We start from the raw sequence: 24,615 nt of genomic DNA, 5'->3' as shown, positions 1-24,615 counted from the left end.
GGATCTAGTTCTTCGGGTCTCCCTCATGTTCCTCATAACCACACCCCATGCGATGGGGCATGAACTGGGATGTCCATTACTTGCTGCAGGGTCTCCAGTACCAGATTCAGGTAATGAGTCATCTTTATATTTTAGCTTCAAAATGGCATTCTAACTTAAGCATAATTTGAGGATTGAAGCTTCTCTGGAGACATATCTTTTGGTGCTGTGGTTATAGGAAGGCTCCTTTGTTAAGCAGAGTAGGCGTAGGTAGTACAGTGACACTTGTCTCTTTTTCTGTAAGAGAGTTTGATGATAACAGTAGCATCTTGTAGAGATGCAAATATTAAATAAAATAATACAGAGAAGAGTGTTTCAAAAACAGTTTGAGCTCTCTAAATGTTAGCTATTTATTTTGTCTTAAAGTGAAAATAACCTGTCTTTATACATATACCTTAAGATAAAATTTCCTGTATCAACATCTCCCAGAAAATGGTACCTTGGGTACTACTTCTTAGTCATTACATGATTGATATAATAGGTGCTCCAAATAATTACTTGGCAAATTGGGAAGAGTCCATACTATCTTCCTTTAATCTAGGTGTTTTTAGGGAGTCATCCTTTCTACAACCGACTCCCAGTTTTGTAAGATGTCAGTTCCAGTGTTCTCTTGCCAAGGGATACAAATCTACATCCACAATCATAACTCCAGGTTTCTCTTTCCTGTTGCCCACAAATATAATGAATTTGGAAGAGCCTAGATTGTAGTTTTCTATGACTGAGTGGGCCTGTATTCCACTTCCACTTTGAGGCCAACTGCCACTTAACTGTGATACAAATCTGTGATTCTGATATTGTTATAAGTGAGGCCCACAGCTTTTGGACAGTAAGTATGTTTTAAATTTTTTTTTTTTTTTTTTTGAGGCAGAGTTTCACTCTGTTGCCCAGGCTGGAGTGCAGTGGTGCAATCTCGGCTTACTGCAACCTCAGCCTCCCAGGTTCCAGCAATTCTCCCGCCTCAACCTCCCGAGTAGCTGGGACTACAGGCACACACTGCCACACCCGGCTAAATTTTTTGTATTTCAGTAGAGACGGGGTTTCACCGTGTTGCACAGGCTGGTGGCAAACTCCTGAGTTCAGGCAATCTGCCCGCCTCGGCCTCCCAGAGTGCTGGGATTACAGGCATGAGCCACGGCAACTGGCCTGTTTTAAATTTTTTAAGTAAGCAAGACAGAGAGGAAGAGAGAGAACCTTACTATATTATCCAAGGGCAGTGATGAGCATGTGGTTATGAAGTGAGCTCAGTGTGCTTGTCCTTGCATCTAGCAAATACTATACATGCTCTATTTCTCCACTAAACTCATGACTAAATGGGGACTGTCAAATAAGTGAGGATATTGGGACAGTACCTGTCACCTACCACAGGACACACTCAGGTCAAAAACTGCATTCAAAGAAACATGTCCAGCCTCTAGCCATTTATTTCAGTCTTTTTGTTCTAACAGATACTTTCTTATATACCATATAAGAAACCAATTTAAAAAGGAAGAGATCAATAAGAAATATGTACTCTCAAAAGCTTACCTAAATTTTCATTTACTAGCTGATTTACACCAGAACACTTCAAGTATTCCACCAACTTGAACACCAAGTTCTATCAAGTTTTTAGTTCAAGTATTTGAAGGATTATTTTTGAAGGCTATTTATTTAGTTGCACTATTCACTAAAGAAACAAACATAATTATTACAACAAGCAACTTTTATATATTCCAAACCAGCTTAGTTTGGTTTACTATAAGCCAACATCTTTGACTTGTTATTGCTTTTATATTTCATTCCAATAGTTTAAAAAATACATAAAATAATCTTTTACATTTTAACATGCCAAAAGTTTATATTCTGAACGTACTTGGCCAGGCACAGTGGCTCATGCCTGTAATCCCAGCTGTTTAGAAGGCTAGTGTGGAAGGCCAGACTCCTGGTGCTTGAGCCCAGGAGTTCAAGACCAGCCTGGGTAATGTGGCAAAACTCCGTCTCTACCCCCACAAAAAAAACAAACAAAAAAAAAACCAGAAGTTGGCCAGGTGTGGTGGTGCTTGCCTGTAGTTCCAGCTACTTGGGAGGCTGAAGTGGGAGGACCACTTGAGCCTGGGAGGTTGAGGTTGCAGTGAACAAACATGGCACCACTGCACCTGGGCAACAGAGTAGACCTTATCTCAAAAAAAAAAAAAAAAAAAAAAACTAAAGAAATTTGAAAAATGCATTTGAATATTAATCTATTGTTTTGTGCATAGTTATATGAATTACAATCACTTATGTAAATTAAGTATATAGATTCATTGCCTTAAATCACACACAGGAAAATATTAACATGTATAGAGTAGCTTTTACAGAACAGTGGAAGTATGACAGATTAATCATATCAGAAAAATTATTCACTGGAGAAATTAAAGACTTTTTTTTCTCTTTTCCTTCCTCTTCTGGACCTAAAGAATATCCATTTCTATATCTCCTTTGTTCTGCCCCCATCCTGTGGCCACAGTTCTCTTATAAATCCAGAACTTCTTGGCATCTTCCTCCCCATGTGAAAAAGGATTCTATGGGCTGGAAGTGATCCCAAAGTGATTTTGCAAAAATGAAGTTGGGCTCAGTAGTGGTAGATCCTGGATCAGCACCTCTCACATTCCTCTCAGTAGTGTATGCCCTGACTTAGATAGGGTAATACTACAATTAATAAAACCTTTGGTCCTTTTGCATTTTCTATCTCTTTGTTTCAAATCGGATTAAAAAAAAGAAATATATAATACAATCAAGAACACTTAAGAAGAAACACTTTCAAGCTATACATATGACAGATCTTAATGGCCCCATTGGTTAGTGATCAGTCACTTTGATGTGAGCAAAGGAAAAGAAGGAAAAGAGAAAACAATCTATAATTGTGAACGTATAGATAAAAATAAGCCTGAGTTTCACTTTTACCATTTTCTCTCCCCTTTAATGACTCCATCATTTTTGCATTAAAATATATATAACATAAAATTTAATATTTTAAATAATTTTAAATGTACAGTTCAGTGGCATTAAGTACATTCACATTGTTGTGCAACCATCCTACCATTCATCTCTAGAACTTTTTTATCTTGCAAAACATAAACTCTGTGCCCTTTAAACAATAACTCCATCTTTTTGTTTTAATTTTCTTAATGGCCAACATGTGTCAGTCAGCCAAACTTTTTAGCATTTGCTGTCTACTTATCTAGTAAGGAAGGAAATTGGAGATGATGTGTCTGCCCCCAGGGAGTTGACATGTTACAACAGAAAGTTGGACAAAAACACCATCTCATAAAGCCAGTCATTGAGCACACACCTGACACTTAGGCAGGTGCTACATTAAGTGAGTTTCAAAGTAGAATAGCTGATAGTTTAGTTTCAAATTTCCCACTCGCAATTCAAAATACATAGCTCTAATTCACAGGAATATGCTGTTTTTAAAAACGATGACTCCTTTCAATAAGAAGGAATGGTGCTGCTATTTTAACCACACTTCTCAGTATGTTATTTTTGAGGGTTAATTGGTCTTTATTTTACAAATCCTGTGGGGTGGTTTTAGGTCAACTGAGACAGGCATTGACAATTCCTGAAAATCCCAAAGCATCTCCACATGTTTCTTAAACTATTGTTGGCTGCTGTGAGCAGAAGTGAGGCTAAGCGGGAATCCCTGTATTCTTGGGCCTATATGTAGGCCACAAGTCATTCTGATTTCTAAATCTGTCATATCAGAATGTGACAAATAGCACTTCAAAATTTCCAGGCCCAGCCTAAGAGGTTAAAATACAATTTGCCCTCATTAATAAACATTGCGTTTGTCTGAAAATTGGCTGTACCACTCAAAAACAAACAAACACCTCTTATTCACCTTTCTGTCTCAGGAGGTCAGCATTGAAAAGCTATAGTTTAATTTCTCTTTTTTAAATGGGAACCAGGTGTTGTATGCGTGTGTGTGTGTTTTTTTTAAAATTATTGTTATTACATGACACCAAACAGAAATGGACATGCTGATATATTCCAAGTTGACTATTTGTGTTCTCTTTGCTAGTGATCATTAATTTCATTTGGACAGTTATTCATGCAAGCAATTTGCCACTATGATGACTGAGAAAAAATACTGAAGCAATAGGTTTTTAAAATGTTAATACATGGAAAGAGATATAAATCTCTTGCAAAACATATTTCTTCAAGTTTTATATTTAGTCTCTGGTGATATAAACCATAAAATTGTGCTAGCTAGTCCAAACTGTTTTTATTGTAATCTTGGTTTGGGAAAACAAGGATTGAATCTCTTAAAAGCTCATTTGGAGTACAAATATTTGAGCTCTAGCTATAGTACATCTATAAAGATATCTAGAATTCAGGAAGATAACACCAATGGAAAAGCAAATTTCTTTGGTTCAATTTTCTCATGGAAAATAACATACATGCTGCTTTAAATAGCCGCTGCTGCTTCTTGAAATTCTTCAAGAAAGGATCTATTTGAAAGGTTTTTGTTCAGCATGCTATACTTCTGCTGGTGCCTCGAGACTGTTACTGAATTTATATGGAAATGAAAGATGGAGACAGCAATGCAAACCTAGTGTTTTACAAACTCACCTTTGTCTGGCCTCACATAAAGCTGTGCAATTGACCTCATTAGATCTGTCACTTGCTGGTTTATTTCTGGGCCTCTCTCTAGTTTAAAATAACATCAGAACTACCCCCAGACACCTTTCTAATAGAAAATATATCACTGGAACAGGATAATCTGGACCCCATGGCATAAAGCAATAGTGCAAAGGAGTTATGGTCACCTAACAGGACCAAAGGGACATCTTCTGATTGGGTTGAACTTACTTAGACATTGCTACCTTTCAACTTCTTCATCTAGTCTAGCTCTCAGGATTTTTGTTAACTGCAATTATCCTGCCTTTGAAAAAATTATGTGTCTCTGCTGGACAAAACATACTGTATTCTTAATGTTGAGAAATGGCTTGGAAAAGAGATCCAGTCCAACATCTTATATTATAAATGAAGAAACTGAGACCTAACATGTTTAATGACATAATGAGCCAAAAACTAGCCCTAGTATGCTGATTATCTGTCTATTATCTTTTCTTATAAGTCATTTACAGAATTGTAGCATTTATTTGGTATGTCTCCATGGAATAGTAATTCTTTAAAATATAGTAGGGACTAGAAAATCTTTCTATACATAAGGGTATAAATTATATCCCTGAAAGGGTTCTTGTTTTCTTTAATTCTTTAAAACTATCTTTTACTATCTGTAAACATTAACTTCTCCTCAACAAGCAAATCTAGAAAAATAAATTTTTCTATCACATTTTGTCAAATTGAATCATACATTAATTGAAAGCTTAAAGAATTATTGTAATCACTTACTATTTTCCTTTAATGAGTTTCAAATTTTGAGATGGAGCCAAATACCTTTCTGAGTAAAAAAAAATAGAGCAATTTACAGAAGTGATAGGTATTTGGCAAGATTTGCAGGTAAAATCGGTTTTCAAAATGTACGTGTTTGAGTAGATTCTCTTATGGGATATATTTAAAGACATCACGTTTAAAAGGAAGCTTGAAGCAATATCATGTTCATAAAAATTAACTGCTCTCTTACCTAATGTACAGGACCTGAATTCATGTTTAAAATGCTTCTCTCATAGCTGCTTTCAGAGTTGGCTAAAATTTTACAATAAATTTTTGTAATGATACAATCATAAGATTTAAAGAATCATCAAAGGGCCTAATTTTTACTTCTTTATATAATTTCTGTACTCCAAAGGTGGTTTTTCACTTAAGAGATAGCACTATCTATAAAAGCAAGCTATGGCCCTGGTATGATTTATTCTTTTCATTTATCCAGTCATTTTAGAGTCAGGGATTCAGTAGGGAGGAGATGACACACTCAGCAGGTGTAATTAAGAAGAATGCAATAAAGGGACTATTCACTAAGATGCAGGCAGAGTTAAGGGTAACTAGCAAGGAATGGTGCTTTCCATTGGCCAAACTCAAGCAGAAGCAACGGAGAGCAAGAGAAGCCTGCTGTAAAGTCCATAGAAGTCTGCTTCGGTTTACAAGTGCACAAAGCAAGGCAGAGGGGTGGAGAAGGGGAGGATGAAGAGTGGATCTGAAAGGGGCAAAGTGTGAATATCCAGCACATTGTTCCATTTGGGGTCATTAATTTCTGTGCATTCTCTTAGCACTTTATACATCTGCATAGCATTTATCACATCTTACAATATTTCGTTATTTACATACTTACGTCTCTCAGTCATCTATGAGCATCTCACCCTGAAACTAAGGAGAAAGTTACATGCAATTTTAACAATTTCAAGGCTGTCATTTGGGCAAAGAAGGCAAAACACAGCCTACCCAAACCTGACTGCTGGCATCAAAGGAGAAAAACAAAGAGAGGGAGATGGAGTTGCTTTTCTTCCTTTCTTGGGATCAGGGTATGGTTTGCTTGGTATAATTCCCACAACAAGAACAGTAAGATAAGAGAAGACAAGGTATAGGGCGTGGAGAGACAAGCTCACCTCCTTGCATCAGAGCTTAGATAAAGGTTTCCCACCTCATGGCCACTTCCCTGGGAGGCTCATTTGAGAGAGATTGTGTGGTCACAACCACAGTAGCACAAATCCATTCTCTTGCATCTGTTGGCTCAGGTCTATGTTTAACAGATTGTTCTTTTTTTCACAGGTTTATTTATTCACAAACTTATTCCACAGAATTTTCTTTTGCCATTGAGTCTCTCATAGTATGCGTGTCCCATAGAGCAGACGAAACAGTGATAAAAGAAATGAGTCTAAATGCTTTCTTGAAAACTTCAAAGTATTTTAAAATCACTTCAGGCTCCTTAACTGCTAAGTAGATGCAAAGATCTGTTACACATTGGAGAAATTACAGTCTCAACTTCCTCTTGAAAAAGCATCATTTGTCTTGTACAGCAGAACTCCAGGGACACAGTGATATGGTATTTGTTCGTTAACTACTGTCCAAGTCCTCCTAACTAGGTTGTAGCAGATGACCTTCTCATCACGTAAGCTGACCAGACCTTCTACATGAATGAAATCTGATTGCTGAATAGTAAGCAAAGCTTTCTAAAGGAATTAAACACATTTAATTTTATCAAACATGTAACATTTGCTATCACAATATATTGCTTGATTGGAAAGTTAAAGGTAAGCATTAATATACATTAGTTTGCACAATTTTTCCTCCTCCCTCTCACACATTTAACACAACTCTGGCTTTAATGTTTATTTAGATTTCATATTGGAATTTTCTTGGATCTTTCTTTGTCCCTTCTAGGGTAATTTTATGGAGCTATATTCTTTTTCTCATTGTACTCAGGACCCTAAAGTCAATAAACAGGAATGTTGATTCAATGTTTTTTTATTCTTTGTTTTATAATTATAGTTATAAAACATCATGGTTATCTGGAAGTTTAACACTTGAAACCCAAGTCAAATGTAAGCTAAAATACACAACACCATGATCAACAATAACAAAAAGTTTTCTGTGTGTCTCTGCAATAGCCTGATATAAAACAAATAAACAAAAAACTTACATGCTTAACTCCATAAGTCTTCAAAGGGAGCTACAAATAGTATTTTTGAATTTCTCTAACAAATAGGCTATATGATTTCTTAGCACACAATGTATTTATGATAACAGTATAGTATAGCCATCAAGAATTGAGACTCTAGAGTCAGACCCACCTTTTGTGTAATTCAGCTAAAAGTTACTTCTCTCTGTGTGTTTCAGTTTTCTCATGGTAGTAGACAGCCCAGAAGATGAGCTACAATAATTCGTGGTTCATTAGTATTCATGTCCTTGTGGAGTCCCCATCCCCTTGAATGTGAGGTGGATTTAATTACTCACTTTCAACAAATAGAATACATCAGAAGCAGTGAGATGTCACCTCTGAAATTAGGTTATAATGTCCATTCTTTCTCTATCAGAAACCTTATTCTGGGGGAAGCAAGCTGCACATGTTGTGAGCAGCCTCATGGAGAGGCCAATGTGGCAAGGAACTGATGTCTCTAGCCAACAAGCAACAAGGACATAAGGCCTGACAACAACCAAGTAAGAGAACTTAGAAGTGGATCTTTGGAGTCCTAACAACAATTGTGTGAGTGACCTTGAAAGTGGACCCTCCCATCACTTGAGGTCAAGAGTTTGAGACTAGCCTAGCCAATATGGTGAAACCCTGGCTCTACTAAAAAATACAAAAATTAGCCAGTCGTGGTGGTGCATGCCTGTAGTCCCAGCTACTTGGGAGGTTGAGGCAGGAGAATGGCTAGAACCCTGGAGGTGGAGGTTGCAGTGAGCCGAGATCATGCCACTGGGCTCCAGCCTGGGTGACAGAGTGAGAGTTCATCTCAAAAAAAAAAAAAAAAAGAGAGAGAGAGAGAAAGTGGATCCTCCCAATTGAGACGAGATGACTGCATTTTGGCCAACATGTTAATTGAGGCTTTGTGAGAGACCCTGAGTTAAAATGACCCAGCTAAGCTACTCCCAGATTCCTGATAATAAGAAACTCTGAGACAAATGTGTGCTATTTTTCAACCACTAAGCCATGGGGTAATTTTTTATACAGCAATAGATCACTAATACAGATTTTGGTAATGAAAGTGTGGTGCTGTTTTAACAGACACCTAAAATGTAAAAGTGGCTTTGGAACCAGACAGTGAGTGGGCTTTGGGTAAAATATTAGCTAACACTTAACATGCTTTGAACATATTGTGGAGAATTTTGTACTTTGAGGATACAGCAGGTGTGGGCTTGTAGGAAAGCAAGAAAAGTCTTACTGGAAACTGATTACAAAGCAATAAATGACAAATACAGCCATCTATGACACAGAGATTCTCTGAAGATTAAATGACTTCATGCATGAAAACGTTCAGCATAATGCCTAGTACATAGTGATCCACTCAATAAATAATATAAAATATGGTGCCTCCCGCATGTTCTCATTCATAGGCGGGAATTGAACAATGAGAACACTTGGACACAGGGTGGGGAACATCACACACCAGGGCCTGTCATGGGGTGGGGGGATGGGGGAAGGATAGCATTAGGAGGAATACCTAATGTAAATGACAAGTTAATGGGTGCAGCAAACCAACTTGGCACATGTATACATATGTAACAAACCTGCACATTGTGCACATGTACCCTAGAGCTTAAAGTATTAAAAAAAAATGGTGCTTCATGCCTGTAGTCTCAGCACTTTGGGAGGCCGAAGCAGGGGGACTGCTTGAGCCCAGGAGTTTGAGACCAGCCTGGGCAACATAGTGAGAGTTTTTTTCTACAAAAAACCAAAAACGTTACCCAGGCATGGTGATGTGCCCCTGTAATCCCAGCTACTCAGGAGGCTAAGATGGGAGGACTGCTTGAGCCTGGGAGTTTGAGGTTGCAGTGGGCCATGATCACAACATTGTACTCTACCCTGGGCAACACAGCAAGACCCTGTCTCAAAAATAAATAAATAAAATTTTTAAAAATATTGAATATAAAAAAATAATTCATTGATAGAATCTGGCAATAGAAAAAGTAACTGACAATATTGAATAGTTGCACTAAGATTATAAAACTAGACATGAAAACAAAAAACAAGGTATTTGAGGTGCATTTAGTTAGAAGAAAACATCTCAGCAGCCCATACATGAATACCGTCCTCTCTAGGGATCAGTAGGGGATTGGTTCCAGGAACCTCATAGATATCAAATCCTCATATGTTCAAGTCCTGCAGTCAGCCCTGTGGAACCTGTGGATACAAAATGTCAGCCCTCCTTATCTGTGGGTTCCATATCCTATGGATACTATATTTTCAATCTGTAGTTAAATTTGAGAATGCAGAATCCGCCGATATAGAGGGCTGACTGTAATTGTATTTCTGCTCTGTACAATAATGACTTTTTATAATTACTCTTGTAATCTAACACATAAAAAACAGAATTTCATCAACATTTTCTGAAAATTAGTAACTTACGATTTTTCTGTTTCTCTTAACATACCTCTACTTCTCTGGTTACCTTACCTAAAAACTTCATTCTTCTCTTTTCCTTGCCTTCCAACCTCTAATACCATATCTTGTTGGTTCTTCCAAATGTCTGCTCTACCTACCACTTCATTCATATATATATATATACACACACACACACACACACACATTTTAAGCACCTCTGTCCAGGCTCTGTTCACACTGTGCATAGCCTACTTTAATAGTCACACAACTCACACCCTGCATATAACTGAAATCCCTCTGTCTGTGATTGCCAGTACCAGCCCCTGTACACCCAGACAACAGGACTGGAAGCTGAGAACCCTTCTTGAGTTCTCATCTTCACTTCTCACATTTAACTGGCAATATAGTTCTGCTCAAGGCTGCAAGTTAGGATGAAAAAAGATGAGAGTCAAAGATACACTTCATGAGAGTACAAAGACTTAGAAAATGGACAATTAACACAAAGCATTATAGAAGTTCTAAAGTAAACATGCTGCCCCAAAAGGCAAGAAAACAGAGTTTCAAGGAGGCAATGCTAAACAATAGTGAGTGCAAAAATAAAAAGTTTAGGTGGACAAACACTAGCAGAAATTAAGCATCTTATTTTTTATTATTTATTTATTTATTTTGAGATGGAGTCTTGCCCTGTCACCCAGGCTGGAGTGCATTGGCATGATCTCGGCTCACTGCAACCTCTGCCTCCTGGATTTAAGCAATTATCCTGCCTCAGCCTCCTGAGTAGCTGGGATTACAGGCACACACCACCATGCCTGGCTAACTTTTTCTATCTTTAGTAGAGACAGGGTTTCACCATGTTGGCAAGGCTGGTCTCGAACTCCTGACCTTGTGATCTGCCCACCTTGGCTTCCCAAATTGCTGAGATTATGGGAGTGAGCCACTGAGCCCTGCCTGAAACTGAGCATCTTCTATATGTAAGGTGTTATGTAAGCTAATTCATTTATTCAACAGATGGTTACTGAGGACTATGTTCACAGTACTGTGTGAGGTACTGGCTACGTCACAGGACATATGACAGTGAAAAATAAATATGCTGCCCCACTCATAGATTTACAATCTAAAATGATCTTATTTGATTTTCATAAAAGCCCTAGGGTTGGTATTATATCCTTATGTTTCAGATGAAAACACGGAGGTTCCACCATATAATGTAGTTTATCAAAGATGACACAGCTATAAAATTATGGGGTGGGTATTAGAGCCCAGGTTAGACTGACTCTAAAGTCATGTTCTTTCTACAATATGATCCTACCTTCGTAAGATGAACATTAAAAAATGGTCATTGGAATTGGCATCCAGACATAAAAACCTTCCATTTCTATAGGGTGGTAGAAGCAGACTACTATATTTCATTACGCTAAAGTCCTGATAATTCAGACATTTGAAAGAGTCTCATATCCACGGGCCAAAAACTTTCCCCAGGCTTAAAAAAAAAAAGGTAATACCATCATCTGTTGTAATAAAGAATTTAAGAGCCAAGATGGCCAAATAGGAACAGCTCCAGTCTACAGCTCCCAGCAAGAGCGATGCAGAAGACAAATGATTTCTGCATTTCCAACTGAAGTACCAGGTGTATCTCACTGGGGATTGTCGGACACTGGGTGCAGGACAGTGGGTGCAGTGCATCAAGCCTGAGCCAAAGCAGGGTGAGGCATCCCTTTCCTAGCCAAGGAAAGGGGTGATGGACGGCACCTGGAAAATCAGGTCACTCCCACCCTAATACTGTGCTTTTCCAACAGTCTTAGCAAACGGCACACCAGGAGATTATATCCCGCACATGGCTTGGAGGGTCCTACGTCCACAGAGCCTCACTCATCGCTAGCACAGTAGTCTGAGATCTAACTGCAAGGCTGCAGCGAGGCTGGGGGAGGGGCGCCTGCCATTGCTGAGGCTTGAGTAGGTAAACAAAGCGGCCCAGAAGCTCGAACTGGGTGGAGCCCACTGCAGCTCAAGGAGGCCTGCCTGCCTGTGTAGACTCCACCTCTGGGGGCAGGGCATAGCCAAACAAAAGGCAGCAGAAACCTCTGCAGACTTAAATGTCCCTGTCTGACAGCTTTGAAGAGAGTAGTGGTTCTCCCAGCATGCAGCTTGAGATCTGAGAATGGACAGACTGCCTCCTCAAGTGGGTCCCTGACCCCCGAGTAGCCTAACTCGGAGGCATCCCCCAGTAGGGGCAGACTGACACCTCACATGGCCGGGTACTCCTCTGAGACAAAACTTCCAGAGGAATGATCAGGCAGCAACATTTGCTGTTCACCAATATCCGCTGTTCTGCAGCCTCTGCTGCAGATACCCAGGCAAACAGGGTCTGGAGTGGACCTCAGGCAAACTCCAACAGACCTGCAGCTGAGGGTCCTGACTGTTAGAAGGAAAACTAACAAACAGAAAGGACATCCACACCAAAACCCCATCTGTACGTCACCATCATCAAAGACCAAAGGTAGATAAAATCAAAAAGATGGGGAAAAAACAGAGCAGAAAATCTGAAAATTCTAAAAATCAGAGTGCCTCTCCTCCTCCAAAGGAATGCAGCTCCTCACCAGCCACGGAACAAAGCTGGACAGAGAATGACTTTGATGAGTTGAGAGAAGAAGGCTTCAGATGATCAAACTACTCCAAGCTAAAGGAGGAAGTTCAAATCCATGGCAAAGAAGTTAAAAACCTTGAAAAAAGATTAGATGAATGGCTAACTAGAATAGCCAATGCAGAGAAGTCCTTAAAGGACCTGATGGAGCTGAAAACCATGGCATGAGAACTATGTGATGAATGCAAAAGCCTCAGTAGCCAATTTGATCAACTGGAAGAAAGGGTATCAGCGAAGGAAGATCAAATGAATGAAATGAAGTGAGAAGAGAAGTTTAGAGAAAAATGAATAAAAAGAAATGAACAAAGCCTCCAAGAAATATGGGACTATGTGAAAAGACCAAATCTATGTCTGATTGGTGTACCTGAAAGTGATGGGGAGATTGGAACTAAGTTGGAAAACACTCTGCAGGATATTATCCAGGAGAACTTCCCCAATCTAGCAAGGCAGGCCAACATTCAAATTCAGGAAATACAGAGAACGCCGCAAAGATACTCCTCGAGAAGAGCAACTCCAAGACACATAATTGTCAGATTCACCAAAGTTGAAATGAAGGAAAAAATGTTAAGGGCAGCCAGAGAGAAAGGTCAGGTTACCCACAAAGGGAAGCCCATCAGACTAACAGTGGATCTCTTGGCAGAAACTCTACAAGCCAGAAGAGAGTGGGGGCCAATATTCAACATTCTTAAAGAAAAGAATTTTCAACCCAGAATTTCATATCCAGCCAAATTAAGCTTCATAAGTGAAGGAGAAATAAAATCCTTTACAGACAAGCAAATGCTGAGAGATTTTGTCACCACCAGGCCTGCCCTACAAGAGCTCTTGAAGGAAGCACTAAACATGGAAAGAAAAAACCGGTACCAGCCACTGCAAAAACATGCCAAATTGTAAAGACCTTCGAGGCTAGGAAGAAACTGCATCGACTAATGAGCAAAATAACCAGCTAACATCATAATGACAGGATCAAATTCACACATAACAATATTAACCTTAAATGTAAATGGGCTAAATGCTCCAATTAAAAGACACAGACTGGCAAATTGGATAAAGAGTCAAGACCCATCAGTGTGCTGTATTCAGGAAAACCATCTCACATGCAGAGACACACATAGGCTCAAAATAAAGGGATGGAGGAAGATCTACCAAGCAAATGGAAAACAAAAAAAGGCAGGGGTTGCAATTCTAGTCTCTGATAAAACAGACTTTAAACCAACAAAGATCAAAAGAGACAAAGAAGGCCATTACATAATGGTAAAGGGATCAATTCAACAAGAAGAGCTTATTATCCTGAATATATATGTACCCAATACTGGAGCACCCAGATTAATAAAGCAAGTCCTTAGAGACCTACAAAAAGACTTAGACTCCCACACAATAATAATGGGAGACTTTAACACCCCACTGTCAACATTAGACAGGTCAACGAGACAGAAAGTTAACAAGGATATCCAAGAATTGAACTCAGCTCTGCACCAAGTGGACCTAATAGACATCTACAGAACTCTCCACCCCAAATCAACAGAATATACGTTCTTTTCAGCACCACACCACACCTATTCCAAAATTGACCACATAGTTGGAAGTAAGGCACTCCTCAGCAAATGTAAAAGAACAGAAATTATAACAAACTGTCTCTCAGACCACAGTGCAATCAAACTAGAACTCAGGATTAAGAAACTCACTCAAAACCACTCAACTACATGGAAACTAAACAAACCTACATGGAATGACTACTGGTTACATAACAAAATGAATGCAGAAATAAAGATGTTCTTCAAAACCAATGAGAACAAAGACACAACATACCAGAATCTCTGGGACACATTCAAAGCACTGTGTAGAGGGAAATTTATAGCACTAAATGCCCACAAAAGAAAGCAGTAAAGATCTAAAATTGACACCCTAACATCACAATTAAAAGAACTAGAGAAGCAAGAGCAAACACATTCAAAAGCTAGCAGAAGGCAAGAAATAAGTAAGATCAGAACAGAACTGAAGGAAATAGAGACAAAAAATTAAACCCTTCAAAAAATCAATGAATCCAGGCACTGGTTTTTTTGAAAAGATCAACAAAATTGATAGACCGCTAGCAAGACTAATAAAGAAGAAAAGTGAGAAGAATCAAATAGATGCAATAAAAAAATGATAAGTGGGATATCACCACTGATCCCACAGAAATACAAACTACCATCAGAATACTATAAACACCTCTACACAAATAAACTAGAAAATCTGGAAGCAACGGATAAATTACTCGACACATACACTCTCCCAAGGCTAAACCAGGAAGAAGTTGAATCTCTGAGTAGACCAAGAACAGGCTCTGAAATTTAGGCAATAATCAATAGCTTACCAACCAAAAAAAGTCCCGGACCAGATGGATTCACAGCCAAATTCTACCAGACGTACAAGGAGGAGCTGGTACCATTCCTTCTGAAATTATTCCATCAATAGAAAAAGAAGGAATCCTTCATAACTCATTTTATGAGGCCAGCATCATCCTGATACCAAAGCCTGGCAGAGACACAACAAAAAAAGAGAATTTTAGACCAATATCCCTGATGAACATCGATGCAAAAATCCTCAATAAAATATTGGCAAACTGAATCCAGAAGCACATCAAAAAGCTTATCCACCATGATCAAGTGGGCTTCATCCCTGGGATGCAAGGCTGGTTCAATGTATGCAAATCAATAAACATAATCCAGCATATAAACAGAACCAACAACAAAAAGCACATGATTATCTCAATAGATGCAGAAAAGGCCATTGACAAAATTCAGCAACGCTTCATGCTAAGAACTCTCAATAAATTAGGTATTGATGGGACTTATCTCAAAATAATAAGAGCTATCTATGACAAACCCACAGCCAATACTGAAAGGGCAAAAACTGGAAGGATTCCCTTTGAAAAGTGGCACAAGACAGGGATGCCTTCTCTCACCACTCCTATTCAATATAGTGTTGGAAGTTCTGGCCAGGGCAATCAGGCAGGAGAAGGAAATAAAGGGCATTCAATTAGGAAAAGAGGAAGCCAAATTGTCCCTGTTTGCAGAAGACATGATTGTATATCTAGAAAACCTAATTGTCTCAGCCCAAAACCTCCTTAAGCTGATAGGCAACTTCAGCAAAGTCTCAGGATACAAAATCAGTGTGCAAAAATCACAAGCATTCTTATACACCAATAACAGACAAACAGAGAGTCAAATCATGAGTGAACTCCCATTCACAATTGCTTCAAAGAGAATAAAATTCCTAGGAATCCAACTTACAAAGGATGTGAAGGACCTCTTCAAGAAGAACTACAAACCACTGCTCAATGAAATAAAAGAGGATACAAAAAAATGGAAGAACATTCCATGCTCATGGGTAGGAAGAATCGATATCATGAAAATGGCCATACTGCCCAAGGTAATTTATAAATTCAATGCCATCCCCATCAAGCTACCAATAACTTTCTTCACAGAATTGGAAAAAACTACTTTAAAGTTCATATGGAACCAAAAAAGAGCCCGCATTGCTAAGTCAATCCTAAGCCAAAAGAACAAAGCTGGAGGCATCACGCTACCTGACTTCAAACTATACTACAAGGCTACAGTAACCAAAACAGCATGGTACTGGTACCAAAACGGAGATATAGACCAATGGAACAGAACACAGCCCTCAGAAATAATGCCACATATCTATAACTGTCTGGTGTTTGAGAAACCTGAGAAAAACAAGAAATGGGGAAAGGATTTCCTATTTAATAAATGGTGCTGGGAAAACTGGCTAGCCATATGTAGAAAGCTGAAACTGGATCCCTTCCTTACACCTTATACTAAAATTAATTCAAGATGGATTAAAGATTTAAATGTTAGACCTAAAACCATAAAATCCCTAGAAGAAAACCTAGGCAATACCATTCAGGACATAGGCATGGGCAAGGGCTTCATGTCTAAAACAACAAAAGCAATGGCAACAAAAGCCAAAATTGACAAATGGGATCTAATTAAACTAAAGAGCTTCTGCACAGCAAAATAAACTACCATCAGAGTGAACAGGCAACCTAAAAAATGGGAGAAAATTTTTGCAACCTACTCATCTGACAAAGGGCTAGTATCCAGAATCTACAAAGAACTTAAACAAATTTACAAGAAAAAAACAAACAACCCCATCAACAAGTGGGCGAAGGATATGAACAGACACTTCTCAAAAGAAGACATTTATGCAGCCAAAAAACACATGAAAAAATGCTCATCATTACTGGCCATCAGAGAAATGCAAATCAAAACCACAATGAGATACCATCTCACACCAGTTAGAATGGCAATCACTAAAAAGTCACGAAACAACAGGTGCTGGAGAGGATGTGGAGAAATAGGAACACTTTTACACTGTTGGTGGGACTGTAAACTAGTTCAACCATTGTGGAAGTCAGTGTGGCAATTCCTCAGGGATCTAGAACTAGAAATACCATTTGACCCAGCCATCCCATTACTGGGTATATACCCAAAGGATTATAAATCATGCTGCTATAAGGACACTTGCACACGTATGTTTATTGCAGCAGTATTCACAATAGCAAAGACTTGGAACCAACCCAAATGTCCAACAATGATAGACTGGGTTAAGAAAATGTGACACATATACACCATGGAATACTACACAGCCATAAAAAATGATGAGTTCATGTCCTTTGTAGGGACATGGATGAAGCTGGAAACCATCATTCTCAGCAAACTATCGCAAGGACAAAAAACCAAACACCGCATATTCTCACTCATAGGTGGGAATTGAACAATGAGAACACATGGACACAGGAAAGGGAACATCACACCCAGGGGCCTGTTGTGGGGTGGGGGGAGGGGGGAGGGATAGCATTAGGAGATATACCTAATGTTAAAAGACAAGTTAATGGGTGCAGCACACCAACATGGCACATGTATACATATGTAACAAACCTGCACATTGTGCATATGTACCCTAAAACTTAAAGTATAATAAAAAAAAAAAAAGAAAAAAAAATAAGAAATCCTGAAAGTGCCAAGAAGACAGTGGAAAGTGTCCGGCTCATGTTAATTAAAGAATCAACAGAGAAAAAAAATTAAAAAATACAAAGAATTTAAGCTCGGAGTCAGACAGATCCGATTTGAATTCCAGCTCTGCCGCAAAATAACTGTGCATCCCTGGGCAGGTTACTTAACCTCCTCAAGTCTTAACTTCCTCATCAGTAAACTGGAGAGAATAGTAACTATTTAATGGAGTTGTTGTATGGATTAAATGATGTAAAGCATGTGAAATGGTACTCCTGCCATTTGTGATGCATCCTCTGAATGTTAGTTTATTAGAAGTTTCGTGGAATGAAATATTAACTGAGGCTTTCCTACTAAGAGCTTTCATTCTAAAAGGGAGAATGAGGAATACAAAAATTAAACAATACGTACAATGAGGTAGCATGAAATAAATAAAGTTTATGCAAAATGCTTTTGGAGAATAGAGGAAGGAGCAATAAATTCTCTCATGAGGAAACATTTCAGTGATTATATGATTTTGGGAAGACTTATTTCAGTTAGTTTGTTAAAACAATGTCTTAATAATAAACAATAAAACAATAAGTCTTAATAGTTTGTTAAAAAATAAGTTTTAGAAAGTTTAATAAGTTTAGAAAGTTTGTTAAAAAATAAGTTTTAGAAAACTTATTTTAGAAGTAGTTCTAGCTGTGGGATTAATTTTATTTTTTAAAAAAAAAGAAATTCCAGGAAAATCCCTGATAGAATTTTCAAAAAGAACAATCCAAAACTTTCCCTTCCTTAATTCTTCTCCAGTGCTTTTTCACTCTCAAGAGAAAAGGTGAAAATTACCTTCCAGGTGCCAGAACAAATGAGCCAACATCTCTCTGAAAGAAGGCAGCATGTGTCTCAGTGAATGAGGCTCAGATGCCCACTTGGAATTCTCAGTCTTGCCTGCCCTTACTTCAAAGGGAGCTAACCTGCTGACATGTTCTTATTTGGTCCCAGAATTGTAAATATGCATGGAGGAGAATGAGATTCCATTATATAACCTCTACGTGACCTTCTGATTTCTGTTATTGTTTTCCTAGGGTAAAAAGATGATAAACAAATAATGCTAAATAAAGTTATCTACAATGTTCATGCATTCTACCTGCTGTTACAGAATGAACCTGTTGCTTTGTCATGGTGTTATGAAATTAAAAAGGAATAGCTACTTGACTTTGAGGAGACAAATTACTTCTTTAAAACCTCAAAGTAAATATTCCTACAATGAAAGGGAAAAAATATGTATTCCTAGTTGATTAACAATTGAGTCAATACACTGATATTGATTTTGATTTAATTAGATGTATGTTTTTCTTCTTACTTTAGAACATATATCAATGGAAAATATCCATCTTTGTTAACAATTAATTACAAGCTAAAGAAACCTTACAGTATTTTAAAAAAATGTAACAGATGAGAAAACCTTATATAATGCCCAACATTCAGTGCTGGTGAGGTTAAGCTGAATTTGGAATTCTCATTTTCTTTTGGTGGCATGGTGCCACAGTTTTGGAAAAGAAAATAGCCAAATACAGGACGTGAGATAAAGATTATTATCTCCCTTAGCTCTGTAAACTCTTTCTCAAGAATTTACACTCTGGAAAAGTTTCAACATAACCAAAATGTTTTAAGAGTGAGCATAGCAGAATATTTATAATAGCACAAAGGAATTGGAAACAATATGAAAGTTCATGATAGGAAAATAATATGACAAAATTTTGAACTATTGTGATATCAAAAAGTCATTAAAAAGATATTCAAACTATGTGGACATGTGGAAAATCAAACAATAAAGTGGTATGCACACATTAGTTACAATTACATAAAATACACATATATGTACTCAAGGGCTAATAAGTTATATGGAAAAATGAAAATAAATGTTATGATTATGAGATCATAGACATTTTTTCTTTTTTTGAATTTTTTAGTGCTACAACATAATTTTTCAAAAGTAAGTGATCCATGTACGAACCAAGAGAAAACTTTACTCTTAAATATCTTCTAACATATTCTTATGGGAACTTTATTCTAATCAACTTACCCATTTCTTATTTTTATTTATTGTGTTTATTTTTATTCTCCCCATTTTAGTTGTTTGAGAAAATGAGTCATTGATTAAACATGCAAGAATTTTATTAAGGAAAATACATGTGCAAAAGGAAATGGGGAAAGAGTTGGAAAGGGTCAGGGAAATCATCAGAACTTGAGGGGAGGAACAGCAGAGATGGCTGGTGGAAGCAATGTAGACCCTCCTGCCCATGGTCTCAGAAAGATTGGCCAAAACCCTAGGCAAGTGATTCAGGCAGTTATTTGACAAAGAAATCCCAGTGTCTTCCTGAAACCTTAGCATCCTGCAGCATGCAGTCTTTGGCAGGGAGCAGCCTGTGCAAGGTGAGGCCTCACAGCACACATGGCACAGAAATTTAAAATTCAGCTTCAGCAGCCATTGGTCAATTACCACCTTCTATTAGGAGGTCTGACAGGTATATTCTCCAAGCTGCCATGGTACCCAAATATGATAGAAAGAAAGTCACCCATACAACAATACTTGAATATCAGTCTGTCTGTCCTGAATGTTTCATAATAACTAGAGTGACAATAAACTGCTAGAAGAAAAAATTTAAAAGCATTTAATGTCAAGAGATGATAGTGCAAATTAAAAACAATTTGGGACCATTTAAAGGGCCATCCTTCTTTTCCTTGACCTTAATGAGCCACAGCTACATTAATACTGGCAAGCAGATGCTATGTGGCCCATACTAAGTTATTAGTTAAATCAAATATCTGCCTGTATGTTCTAACTGAAATGTTGTACAAATTAGTGAGCCATAATATTTAAACTATGAGTCACACATTCCTTCCATAAGGTTTACCCAAAGACCTTGGACACTGGTCCCAAGTAGTCCATTATTCAGCTTCTGGTTCTAAAACTTACTTGTTGAATGGTTTTAGAGGAGGAATATGAGTCTTTCAGCCTCAACATTTACATAAAAACTGGAATGATTATACTTCCTTCATATTCATCATTACGATAATTAATAAGATAACATATGTGAAACACTTATGTATTCATCTATTTTGCATTGTTATAAAGGAACACTTGAGACTGGGTAATTTATAAAGAAAAAAATATTTATTTTGGCTCACAGTTCTGCAGACTGTATAAGAGGTATAGTGCTGGTATCTGCTTCTGGTGAGGGCCCCAGGAAGCTTACAATCTGGGTGGAGGGTGAAGGGGGAGCAAGTGTGTCACATGAGGAGAAAGGGAGCAATAGAGAGGAAAGGATGTGCCAGGCTCTTTTAAACAACCAGCTCTCTAAATAATGAGAACACATGGACAGAAAGAGGGGAACACTTGACACTAGGGCCTACTTGAAGGAGAGTGGGAAGAAGGAGAGGTTCAGAAAAAGAAAACTCAGATACTATGCTTAGTACCTGGATGATGAAATAATTTATATACCACTCCGCTGAGTCACGAGTTCACCCATATAACAAACTGCGCATGTGCCCCTGACCCTAAAATAAAAGTTAAACTATTCTTTTAAACAAAAAAATGAATAAACAACCAGCTCTTGTGTGAATTAATGGAGCCAGAACTCACTCATTACCCCCTGGGAAGGCACCAAGGCATTCATGAGGGATCTGCCCCCAGTATTCAAACACCTCCCACCAGGCCCCATCTCCAACACTGGGGATCACATTTCAACATGAGAATTGGAGGGGACAAACATGAAAAAATATCAACTTAGAACCATACTTAACATATATTGGTAATCAACAAATTTTAATTCTCTTCCCCTACACAGACACACATACACACACACACACACACGCACACACACACATACACACACACACACACAGAGAGAGAGAGAGAGAGAGAGAGAGAGAGAGGCTTTTATCAGGGCAAGTGGCTCTTGGGTTTATCATGTTTTCCAGGACAAATCCAGCCTCCTCAGATTTTTTTCTATGGTCATACATCTTCAAAAACCACTTTTCTCCCATTTTACCCAGCCCAACTTTCCTATCCAATCAAACTCGTCCCCCCAGGGTCTCCCAAACATACCATGTTTAGTCTCAACAGCAAATATTGCATCTTCTGACCCTCTTCTCCCTTCCTCTCTATTTTTTAAACTTGTATTCACATCTTACCTTTTCACAGACCCACTCATCTCCCATTTCAGTGAGCTTCTACAGTACTTATTAACATACTGTTCATCTTGGGAGTAAAAAATATATGCTTATCTTACCACCTTCTGCCATTCTTTATCCTCCCAGGTAACTAGGAAGATATACATTAAACCCATAGTAAATTATGAATTAATTTTTGCTTAATAAATAGATAATCCCTATATGTCAGCTGACTATTGACATAGCGCTTTATGTTGTGATATATTTGTAAATCTATACACATTACAACGATTTAAATGTAAGAAAAAAATTAATTTGTACTTTATATAATCAGCTTACCTGGTTCAGAGGCACATGTATGAACAGTGACAATCAGAAGTGATCTCCAAAATAATAGTATTATTAGCTACAGTATGACTACAATGTCATCGTAAATTTAGAAATTAATACAACACTTATAAATGCACAAATGAATAAATTTGCTTCCACATGTGTTCAGTGGGACATAAGAAATACAGATCTGATGACCACTGATCTAAGGCATCTCATACTAGAGCTTTATCCCAGAACCCAGTAAGGGTCCGTTTAACCTTTAGACACTTTAAAAATAATATCTGAAAATCATCAAACGTTACTTTAGCACACACTCATATCCAATTAGGACCCATCAAGATCCCACATAAAAACACATAGTCTAGACCCAGCACCAGTTTATATGCTTCTAAGTTCAAATGGGCACTATCTAAAAGTCCTGTACATTTAGAATAACATAATTCCCAGGATAATCTATATTAATGTACAGAGAATAAATAATACAGCAGGAGAAAAAGTCCACTGGCAAAATTTCTATCAATCAATAAATATGTGTTGAAATGGAGACATGATGAGATACGATGTGGCATGACATGGCAGGACATTTTGTTTCAGGTGTCCATTGCAAGGGTCCTATAGCTGAGGGAGAATGTGGAACACGAGGCAAACCCCAGAGAGAAGAGACTTTACCTTTTTAACTTAGGATTTACACTATGTGTCTTACATAACCTGGTATGATAAAGGAAAATGTGTTTCCATCAATCAGAGAAGGCAGCAATGAAGAAGAAAGAGGAGGTGAATAATTGGCAAGCTGGGGTGTAATGATGGCACTGGAAAGCTATGAAGTCAAGAATGGAGTACGTCTGCCTAAGACAAGTACCTCTGGGGGAAGGGGGAATCATGGTCCTAGGAAAAGAGCTGGACACGAGAGCTTGGGGCTACATTTTGGAAAATCTTCAAACTGCTAGTAAAAAGAATATTACATTTACCAGTGGGGCCTTTATAAACATGAAAAGTAGTGTTTGTATAATGCTTTAAATTCCTTAGGGAAAGGTGTTATGTAGACACAAATAGGCAAACTATGAAATCAAAATCCAACATTTCTGAGGGAGTTGTCTTTGTGGAAGCAGAAATACTTTCCCTGCCCCGCTAGTTTTCTTTCAGAATCAATTTCACTTGCCCTAAAATTTCAAAAAGAGAACAGCCCACGATATTGAACGCCCCTGCAGGTCAGCCGTCTTTTCTCCAACAGTCATATCTGGCAAAGTGAAGGAGAAGTGGGAAACGCAGGAGCTGTTTTATAAGGATGAGTTTTTAGCAGTACAGCGTGGAGGATCAGTACAGGAAAGTCTCTCCTTTGGCCATTCTGTTTCACTTTCCGCAGGGGAACTATTTTCTTCATCATTTATCCCAACTGACAAGTACAAGCATTTTGGGCCCTAACTGAATGTGAACATTGTCAAAAGGAATTGGGCTAACAGGAGGCATCTGCAGCTCCATCCCCATTGCATTCTGGTGGGGGCCAGGTCTGCCGACGTGGCATAGAGGCTGGTGGGCAGACACCCCCGCAGATGGATCCTCACATACTGTATGCGTCATGACCAGCCATAAAAACAGTCACAATGAATCAGCTGTGCTGCGGAGAGGCTCCTTGGAACCTTCACATTCAATTTCCATCCGGCTGACATCCGCAGGTTGTAGTCAGAGGCTCGATTAAACAGGTTCGAAACTAACCCACAAGTCCCTGACTGGTGGTGACTCACTCGCTGACTGGGCCACTGGTTTGAAAGCTTTTGCTGGTTTGAGAGAACTCACGGTAGACTTGACTGTGTTTGCAAATGGCTAAGGGTTTCATTTTTTGAAAATATACATCTATCAGTGAAAGCTTCCTGACCTCTTGAATGAATAGTTGCTAGAAGGGGCCTAAGAGCTTCGAGAGGAGAAAAATTCATTCAATCAGGAATTCCAATACAAATACCAATTTAGAAAATGAGCTAATCCACCTTGACAACATGTTGTCACTGCAAAGTTGCAAAAAGGAATTACACACAAATACGACTTTAAAAATTAGAGGCCCCATAATTTAACAGCTTAAGTTTGCTTCAAAGGACTGCAGGGAAGCAGCAGTAGGTTTCAGGTGACAGCTTGGAATTCACTGGTTCCCTACTCAGCTCAGGTACAGGTCTGACAGTAACACGAGCTTTCCAACTTGTTTCAAACTGAAGTATTATGAAAAGGTAAATTATGTTTTGTATTCATGACTGAAAGCATTTTACTTTAAAGCCAGCGCGGCTGACTCTGTCAAGGTAGAGATTCAAGTTTTATGTACAGTGCCTCCAGCCCAGCCGATGTGAGTGAGGCAACATGACAGCTTGTAATAAGTAATTTTTATACAGTTACATTTATCACTCAAGTAGGCTTGGCAATATTAAACACAGACTTTAAAATACTACTGAAGGGGAGGACAGGGGCTGGAGGCCATGGAGGCA

The 24,615-nt window shown here is 38.4% G+C and overlaps 2 annotated features.

Moving 5' to 3' along the window:
• Positions 23,080-24,279: an enhancer, noted in NCBI's record as "P300/CBP strongly-dependent group 1 enhancer chr6:50992467-50993666 (GRCh37/hg19 assembly coordinates)". NCBI's record gives its function as "activates an origin of replication core promoter dependent on BRD2, BRD4, P300/CBP, MED14 and CDK7 cofactors, with strong dependence on P300/CBP, by STARR-seq in HCT116 cells {active_cell/tissue: HCT116}" and the evidence as "EXISTENCE:reporter gene assay evidence [ECO:0000049][PMID:35650434]".
• Positions 23,703-23,997: an enhancer, noted in NCBI's record as "tiled region #1320; K562 Activating DNase unmatched - State 5:Enh". NCBI's record gives its function as "activates a minimal TATA promoter and a strong SV40 promoter by Sharpr-MPRA in K562 cells {active_cell/tissue: K562}" and the evidence as "EXISTENCE:reporter gene assay evidence [ECO:0000049][PMID:27701403]".

Source organism: Homo sapiens, chromosome 6, assembly GCF_000001405.40.
Source record: "Homo sapiens chromosome 6, GRCh38.p14 Primary Assembly".
NCBI lineage: Eukaryota > Metazoa > Chordata > Mammalia > Primates > Hominidae > Homo > Homo sapiens.
This window is presented reverse-complemented; position numbering and strand designations above follow the sequence as displayed.